The 9,612-nt window shown below is 46.4% G+C and overlaps 1 long non-coding RNA gene across 2 annotated transcripts; it reads right to left on the bottom strand.

The window, feature by feature from the left end:
• Positions 1-529: 529 nt before the first annotated feature.
• On the bottom strand, positions 530-4,941 carry LOC105373395 (uncharacterized). 2 transcript variants are annotated; one of them, XR_005647110.1, is made up of 5 exons: positions 4,834-4,941; positions 3,268-3,455; positions 3,034-3,172; positions 1,157-1,554; positions 530-828 (listed from the first exon to the last, which is right to left on the bottom strand). It is a non-coding gene; the product is annotated as an uncharacterized LOC105373395 (long non-coding RNA). The 2 variants fall into 2 exon arrangements; XR_005647109.1 differs by having other exon boundaries at positions 530-1,554.
• Between the last annotated feature and the right edge of the window lie 4,671 nt (positions 4,942-9,612).

Raw genomic sequence — 9,612 nt, 5'->3', positions numbered from 1 at the left:
ATTTGTTCATTTTCATGCTTCTAATAAAGACATACTGAAAACTGGGAACAAAAAGAGGTTTAATTGGACTTACAGTTCCACATGACTGGGGAGTCCTCAGAATCATGGCAGGAGGTGAAAGGCACTTCCTACATGGTGACAGAAAGTAAAAATGAGGAAGAAGCAAAAGCTGAACCCCCTGACAAACCCATTAGATCTCGTGAGACTTATTCACTATCACCCAAATAGCATGGGAAAGACTGGCCCCCATGATTCTACTACCTCCCTCTGGGTCCCTCCCAACACATGTGGGAATTCTGGGAGATACAATTCAAGTTGAGATTTAGGTAGGGACACAGTGAAACCATATCACCCAGATATTTAATAGTAATCAAATACTTAAATATTTGATCTGTTTACATAACTTCCCAGGAAACAGCATGTCTTTATGTTTTACAAAGCAGAAATAGTGGGGCTTAAAATAATACAGACATTAATTTTTTACATTTTCTAAATTGTCTTTGTGTTGAGAATTAGCTTGTTGAATAGTTGTGATTATGTAAATTTTAGGCAGGGATTCTCTGTCTTCCAATGTCACACTGCAATGCAAATTATCAGACTGCAATAGATTTGCCAGCATTATTGGTCTTATATTACTTACACAATTTTCAGAAATAAGAAAACATACAGATTGGTAGAAGTGTTCCAATTGCCATAACTGTAAAGGCCAAGTTTCTGAAGCTCATGGCACTCTCCTTCCTTTTTATTCTCTTGAATGGACAGTATTCAGGAAATGGCTTTCATTTCATGGAAGATTCAATCATTCTGACAAGACAGTCTTTTTTCCCACTTATGACAACATGCATAAAATGAAAATGAGAGTAAAAAATTGATTTTGACTAAAAACTAAATGGGCAAGTGTAATTAGCATCTTGAATGCAGTAAGGGCTTCTATGCCCTTCACCTTCATCTATCCAAACTGTCCTGTCAGAGCATCCCCTGCCCGGCCCTGGCCCACATCCAAGGCTGCACATGCCTGTGGAAGCAGCATGGGGGCAGAGGGCAGTGGGTCCCAGCTCAGGCAGTGGCTGGGAGCACGGATGTGGCTTGAGCTCAGTCATGCTGTGAGGGTGGCCCACGTATCGCGATCCATGTGGGGGCCCCAGCCAGACTCTACCTGCATGTGCAGCTGGTTTCCAGGTTCTATTCCTAGTCTCAGTTCTTTCCTCTTTACCCAGAAACTGGAAAATAAACCCTGCCAGGGTCCTGGTTCCTGTCGCTGTCCTCTGGGGCTCCTCCAGGCCACCGTGACAGGGCCCACTGGCTGTGCCAGGTTCTACCACAGCTGGGTCCGAAGGTGCTGCACACAGGATGCCACGTGCACTCCCTTGGGTCAGTAGATGCCGAATCCAGAATTTCAAATTGACCTGAGGGGAGGGTGTTGAAGCTGCATTTCCGCCCTTCCTGGTGGATCCCTCTGTCTCCTGTCTTCTCCACGCTTCCTGGTTTGTGCAAGGGTTTCCTTCGTCAGTAGAGATAGCATGGGCCACTTTACATGGTCCATGTTTTCTGATCCTAGTGATAAGAAGAGGAATTGGGAAGATATATAAAGTACTTCATGGAGCTTAAATAATTCTTTCACGTGAATTAACTCATTTTTTTCTTCACACACACTAAAAGGCTGAGGATGCAGATAGAAGAAAGAAATGGCATTTATTGAGGATGCCTACTCTGTGCCAGTTGTATTTTTAGTCCTTATAGCAATACTGCTAAGAACACATCCCTTCCATTTCACAGAAGGATAAACTGCCACCCACAGGGTGAAGGAGTATGTCCACAGTCAGGGCTGTGGTGAGTGACAGCTCAACTAGAATGCAGCTCTCCATCCTCCAAATAGCATGATTTTCCTGCTTTATATGTCTGCACTCGTCATCCAAATGTCACTGGATGAAAGCATCCGCAGTCTTCACCAGCTGGTGTCTTTGGCCCCTACTATGAACCTACTCATGCCTGCAGCTCAAGGAAGTTTCCAGAAAGCCTCCAACACAAGTGAGGAAGCTAAGGTTATGACAGGCTGTCTGAGCATAGGGAAAGACAGAAATTTAGCCTCTGAGCCCTCTGGGCACAGATGGCATCTGAATATCTTCCACCCTAAGGAAGCCCTGTAGGCCATGGGAGAGCCCTGTAGGCCCCTGGCAGCCTTTGGTGCCAGGGCTGAGGCCAAGAGGTGGGGGAGTTATGTTACCCAAAGGAAGTATAGTCAGGAGTAGATTCCCACTCCTGTTTAGTAGACAGCCCATCTAAACCAAAGTGAGTGGATAGCCAAAAACTCAGGAGACCATATGCCAGTGCCAAGATCACAGGGTGACACTGAGCTGGCTGCAGCAGGCACAGTGAGCAGGACAGTGCCTTGCTGGACAGGACACATCACACCTGCCTGAGGGCAGCATCCAGAGAGTTAGGAAGCCCCCCGGCCTCCACTTCTCACCCCAGAATCTAGTCATAGCAGTTTGAATAGTTGGGGAAGTAAGTAGGTGAGAAGAGAAGTCTGGAGGTGTATTTTTGGGAGAAAGAAGAGTGAGTGGGCTCCTAGGATTGAGTGGGTGTTGGGAGTTCAGGGTTGCCTTTTCCCTTTGGCTCCAGGGAACTGCTGCTGGATTTGAGCTCTGCAAAAAAAAAAAAAAAAAAAAAAAATGCTGACTCTGGATTCAAGGGAGGCACAAAGGGACCCAGGAAGGCCTGATTCACAGGGTTCCATTCCCAGGTCCCCTTCCCTTCCGCCAAGGCCAGAGTTCAGGTTGAAATGTGAGGCAAGTTTCCTGGCTTCCTCACCTGACTGTACTTGGAGCTAAAAGCAAAGCCATGCCTCCAACAGCCATGAGCAGGAGAAACGCACGATTCCCAGGACAACTGTGGCTACGATTTGAGTGCCAGCACGAAATAGGAGCAGCTTAATGGCTGGAGAAGAAGACTTTGAAGAGCTCTCTGCTGCTTTTTAAATAAAAATTTGCAGAGGGAGATTATGACTAAGAGAGTGGGTAACCAGAGGCTGACCTGGAGCCCCCAGGAGTCATGCGCACGCTGCCTTTTGATGACGATGCCAGCATGAAGAGGTGGCCTACCCACAGCCCTGCATCCATTCTGTCCTCGCCTTGATAAAAATCAGTCACTGACCAAGAAAATCAGGGGTGATCTACAGGAAAAAGGGAGAGAAGACTAGCTTAGCCTGTAACCTGAGTAATGAATCTAATACCTGCTTCCATAAAAAAGAAAGAATTGTTTCTTTACCTTGTTTCCTCAGCCTGCAAACCTGGCAATGGGGGAACTCTCTAAAGTCAACCTGAACAGCACAGAGATCATCCCTGCGAACACAGGAAGGCCCCCCTTCGTATAAATCAGCAAAAGAACATCTACGTTCCCAGGAGAGTCTAGTTGATTTATAAAACAGTGACTAATGGGCCCATGCAGAAAGAATCCTAAAAGAGAAAAATGTAGAACGGTTTCACCATTAACAAAACAAACATTCATCAACTACGCTTCATGTTAGGAAAAGGCAGTTTCACTATATTTACTAATATCTAATATCTATAAATTTTCAAGATTTTCCCTCCATCCTGTTTCTCGGCTTGTGGGCTCCAACTCCACAGACTCAGGGTTCCAACTCCTTAGGCTCAGGTGTCTTCCCTCCCTGGTGGGCCTGGCTCTGCCACCTGGCATCGGCCTTCCTGATCCAGACCCTCCTCCCCAGCATGTCATGTCCCCCTGTGACTCCCACCTACACTGCCCACTGCATCATGCCAGGTCTGAATGGTTGGGAGAGCAGCCCATCCCATCCCTGGCCCCTCACCCATACTCTACCTCCCTAATTCCTCACTCAAAGAGCTCACTCAGGTCAGCTGGTTCCTCGTGCCCTCCATGCCACTGCCTTCATTTCCTTTGTCCTCTAAGAACTCTTCATGAACGTATCCCCCCAAATTCATATTTCAAATCCTAACTCTAATTCATATTTGGAATCATAACCCTCAAACTCATATTTGAAATCCTAATCCTGATACCCTAATATGAGGGTATTGAGAGGTGGGGCCTTTGGGAGGTGATGAGGGTGGAGCCCTCACAAATCAGGTTAGTGCTCTTATAAAAGAGACCCCAGAGAGCTGCCCCACTCTTCCACCATGTGAGGACACAGCCAGAAGCCACTGTCTGTGAAGAACAGCCCCTCCCCAGACACCAGATCTGCTGGTGCCTTGATCTTGGGCTTCTAAGCTTCCAGAACTAGAAGCCATAAATTTTGTTTTTTACAAGCCAACCAGTGCATGGTGTTTTGTTACAGAAGCCTGAATGGGTTAAACAGTTAACCCATCACTCTCTCACACCATCCCCTCAGTGTTCCAGGCATGTTCCAACTGAATGGCTGGCAGGAAAGCCTATAATTGGATTTGATTTATTCGCTTCTCAAACATTTGAAAACACAAACACAATGCCAAGTGCTGTCCTCAGGGGCACAGTCTGGTGAGTGACACCAAGACTCAGCTCTCAGAAGAACTGTGAGGACACAGGGTGGGGACTGAGGTGGAACCCAGGCGCAGAGGTCAACTCGCTGATTCTAGGGCTCTGTGTGGATCTTGGCCCACATGCAGCTTCTAGCAGGACTTGGTGGCTGGCTCTTGTGGCACATGAGTGGAGAGGACACTGGAGCACAGGTACTGGGAGGCAAGGTTCCTGAGCATCAGATGAAGAATTAACGTGAGGGTGGATTAACATGCGGGTTACATTCTGTAAATTAGAGGGTTATCCCATGATAACCCTCCAACTTATAGAAAACGAAACTGCAGGTGAAGAAGTTAAGTGACTTACACCATCTCATAACCAGTGAGGGTCAGTCCACAATTTAAAGCCAGAGTTTCTAACTCCAAATCCTGTGTTCAGAAACTGGAAGGAGAAACAAATCCAGCGATGGATGGCTACAGGATAGCGTGACGCCTCCACCAGCCACATAGTCCAGCACAGCACGGTCGGTGTCAGGTTCACAGCTACACAAAATGTCATGCTGAGGTCCGAAGGGAGTGGGGGGATGAGCAGAAAGAACTCTGGGGTGGTGGGGGCTGGCCGTAGGCAGGTGAAAGATGATTTTATTTGGCAGCAGCTCTCATCAACAGCTTTCTCACACTGTCCGCCCTGTCTCAGCTGCTTGAGTCGGCTGTGGCTCCTTTCAGCAGCTGGCTCTCCGTTGCCATCAGGGTCATCAGCTTAACTCTCTTTTTCTGGGCACCAGCAAGCCGAGCTGTGTCCTGGCTCCCTCCTGTCCGTCTGCAAAGATGGACAACTTTGGCTCTCTCTCTTTCTCTTGGTGTGAGCACCTGCACAGTGTCAACAGGGCAACTATACCTTTTACAGAAAATAGTGGCTTAGAGCCAAGTGATAACCATTACCTATGTTATGGCTGTGGTGGTGAGCTTCTCTACGTTATGTCTACACGGTTATGATAACAAGTGGAGTTATACGCCCGCACTCTAGACTTGCTGAGTCACTCTGGATGTTTACCTCAGCCTATCCTTGACCAAAGCACAGCCCTTAACTTACAGCCGGGGCTGAATTTTCTGCCATGTCTGCTTTCAGTTTTCCTGACAGCAGCTTGGTTTATAACAATTATTTCACAGTAAAGCCTATTAATTACAGTCCCACCTCCTTTGGGAGCTCATGCTTAACCAAGCAGAAGTGAGGACTTACTGCTACCCTGGCCTGACTCCCTGCCCACAGTCAAGCCCACACAGGAGATACATATCACCAAACAAACCACCAGGAACAAAACCCACGTGAAGTGCCAGTGGCTGTAGATTTGTTTGGAGCTGCTCTCCATTCATAAGCTCAATGAAAAGGCAGCAGCAGGTAGTGGAGAGAATGCAGGATTCAGACTCAGAAACCCTGGCTTTAAGTTCCTGACTGACCCTCATTTGTTGTGAGATACCATAAGACACTTAACTTCTTCACCTGCAGTTTTCTCTTCTACAAATTGGAGGGACATCACTGGACCCATGTTAATCCTTCATTTGAAGCTTGGTGGATATGGTTTGGATGTGTCCTCACCAAAATCTCACCTTGAATTATAATAATCCCCACATGTCAAGGGCGGGGCCAGGTGGAGATAATTGCATCATGGGGGTGGTTTCCCCTGTACTATTCTCATGATAGTGAATAAGTCTCCTGAGATCCGATGGTTTTATAAAGGGGAGTTCCCCCCACAAATGCTGTCTTGCCTGCTGCCATGTAAGACATGACTTTGCTCCTCATTTGCCTTCTGCCATGACTGTGAGGCCTTCCCTGCCATGTGGAATTGTGAGTCAATTAAACCTCTTTCCTTTATAAATTACCCAATCTCAGGTATCTTCATTAGCAGCATGAGAACAGAATAATACAGTAAACTGCTACCAGTTAGTGGGGTGCTGCTCTAAAGATACATGAAAATGTGGAAGCAACTTTGGATAGCAGGCAGAGGTTGATACAGTTTGGAGGACTCAGAAGAAGGCAGGAAGATTTGGGAAACTTTGGAACTCCCTGGAGACCAGTTGAATGGCTTTGACCAAAATGCTGATAGTGATATGGATATTAAAGTCCAGGCTGAGGTGGTCTCAGATGGAAATGAGGAACTTACTGAAAATTGGAGCAAAGGTGACTCTTTCTATATTTTAGCAGAGAGACTGGTGGCATTTTGCCCCAGCCCTAGAGATTTGTGGAACTTTGAACTTGAGAGAGATAATTTAGGGCATCCGATGGAAGACATTTCTAAGCAGCAAAGCATTCAAGAGGTCACCTGGGTGTGTTAAAAGCATTCGATTTTATGTATTCACAAAGATATGGTTTGGAATTAGAACTTATGTTTCAAGGAAAAGCAGAGCACAAAAGTTTGGAAAATTTGTAGCCTGATGAGGCAATAGAAAAGAAAAACCACTTTCTGAGGAGAAATTCAAGCTGGCTAAAGAAATTTGCATAGGTAGCAAGGAGCCAAATGTTAATCACCAAGACAATGGGGAAAATGTCTCCAGGGCAAGTCAGGGTTTTCCAGGGCAGCCCCTCCCACCACAGGCCCAGAGGCCCAGAAGGAAAAAATGGTTTTGTGGGCCTGGCCCAGGGCCTTGCTGCTTTGTGCAGTCTAGGGAATTGGTGCCCTACATCCCAGCTGTGGCTAAAATAGGCCAAGGTAGAGCTCAGGCCATTGCTTCAGAGGGTGCAAGACCCAAGCCTTGGCAGCTTCCATGTGGTGTTGAGCCTTTGGGTGCATAGAAGTCAAGAATTGAGGTTTGGGAACCTCTGCCTAGATTTCAGAAGATGTATGGAAATGCTGGTTGTCCAGACAAAGGTTGCTGCAGGGGCAGAGCCCTCATGGAGAACCTCTGCTAGAGCAGTGCAGAAGGAAAATGTGAGGTGAGAGACCCACACACAGAGTCCCCACTAGGGCACTACATAGTGGAGCTGTGAAAAGAAGGCCACCATCCTCCAGATCTGTTGCGGGAAGTCAGGGACCCTGAACGGAGGGACCGACTGAAGCTGCGGCAGAAGAACATAAATTGTGAAGATTTCATGGACACTTATCACTTCCTCAATCAATACTCTTATAATTTCCTATGCCTGTCTTTAATCTCTTAATCCCATTGTCTTCATAAACTGAGGATGTATATAACTTCAGGACCCTGTGATGATTGCACTATTTGTACAAATTGTTTGTAAAACATGTGTGTTTGAACGATATGAAATCTGGGCACCCTGAAAAGCAACAGGATAACAGCAATTTTCGGGGAACAAGGGAGATAACCATAAGGTCTGACTGCCTGTGGGGCCAGGCAGAACAGAGTCATATTTTTCTTATTGCAGAAAGCAAATAGGAGAAATATCACTGAATTCTTTTCCCAGCAAGGAATAACCCTGGGAAAGGAATGCATTCCCAGGGGTGGATCTATGGACAGCCACTCTGGGAGTGTCTGTCTTATGCAGTTGAAGATAAGGGATGAAATATGCCCTGGTATCCTGCAGTGCCCTCAGGCTTACTAGGATTGGGAAATTCCAGCCTGGCGAATTCTAGTCAGACCAATTGTCTACTCTCGGACCCTGTTTCCTGTTAAGATGTTTGTCAAGACAATACATGCCCAGCGGGACATGTAACCTGATCAGTAATTCTAATTTTGCCCTGGCCTTGTGATCTTGCTCTGCCCTTCTGCCCTTGTGATCTTTTATTGCCCTTTGAAGCATGTGATCTTTGTGACTTACTCCCTGTTCGTACCCCCCTCCCCTTTTGAAATCCCTAATAAAAACTTGCGGGTTTTGCGGTTCAGGGGGCACCACAGAACCTACCAATAGGTGATGTCACCCCTAGAGGCCCAGCTGTAAAATTTCTCTCTTTTGTACTCTTTCTCTTCATTTCTCAGACTGGCTGACACTTAGGGAAAATAGAAAAGAACCTACGTTGAAATATTGGGGGCTGGTTCCCCTGATACAGATCCACTGACAGCTTGCACCCTGCACCTGGAAAAGCTGCAGATACAACACCAGCCCATGAAAGCATCCAGGAGTGGGGCTGTACCAAGCAAAGCCACAGGGGTATAAATGCCCAATACCATGGAAACCTACCTCTTGCATCAGCATGACCTGGATATGAGACATGGAGTCAAAGGAGATCATTTTGGATCTTTAAGATTTGACTGCTGGATTTCAGACTTGCATGGGGCCTGTAGCCCCTTCATTTTGGCCAATTTCTCCCATTTGGAATAGCTGTATTTACCCATTGCCTGTACCTTCATTGTATCTAGGAAGCAACTAACTTGCTTTTGATTTTACAGACTCACAGGTGGAAGGGACTTGCCTTGTCTCAGATGAGACTTTGGACTTGGACTTTTGAGTTAATGCTGAAATAAGATTTTGGGGGACTGTTGGGAAGGCATGATTGGTTTTGAAATGTGAGGACATGAGATTTGGGAGGGGCCAGAGGCAGAATGATACAGTTTTGCTGTGTCTCCACCAAAATCTCAACTTGAATTGTAATAATCCCCACATGTCAAGGGCAGGGCCAGGGGGAGATAATTGAATCATGGGGCAGTTTCTTCCCTACTTTTCTCATGGTAGTGAATAAGTCTCATGAGATCTGATGGCTTTATAAAGAGGAGTTCCCCTGCAAAAGCTCTCTTGCCTGCCACCATGCAAGACATCACTTTGCTCCTCATTTGCCCTCTGCCATGATTGTGAAGCCTCCCCAGCAATGTGGAACTGTGAGTCAATTAACCCTCTTTCCTTTATACATTATCCAGTCTTGGGTATGTCTTTATTAGCAGTGTGAGAACAGACTAATACAGTGGAACATGAAGATGTGTTCTGAGTTGGGCAGCTCTGTTCACATGTGGTCTTAATCATTAATCCTGGGAATGAAATAAACTCACAGTGTAGACCCCTGGACAATTATTTTTGTTCCATAATTTCACTTTATGCCTGAAACAGCATGATGCTCAATTTCATGTGCCAGCTTGGCTGGATCATGGGAGCCTGTAGTAAACATTTCTGAGTGTGTCTGAGAGGGTGTTTCTGGAAGAGGTTAGCATTTGAATTCGTGGACTCAGTAAAGAAAGTTCCCTCCCAGCACAAGTGGGCATC

Source organism: Homo sapiens, chromosome 2 (assembly GCF_000001405.40).
Source record: "Homo sapiens chromosome 2, GRCh38.p14 Primary Assembly".
NCBI lineage: Eukaryota > Metazoa > Chordata > Mammalia > Primates > Hominidae > Homo > Homo sapiens.
This window is presented reverse-complemented; position numbering and strand designations above follow the sequence as displayed.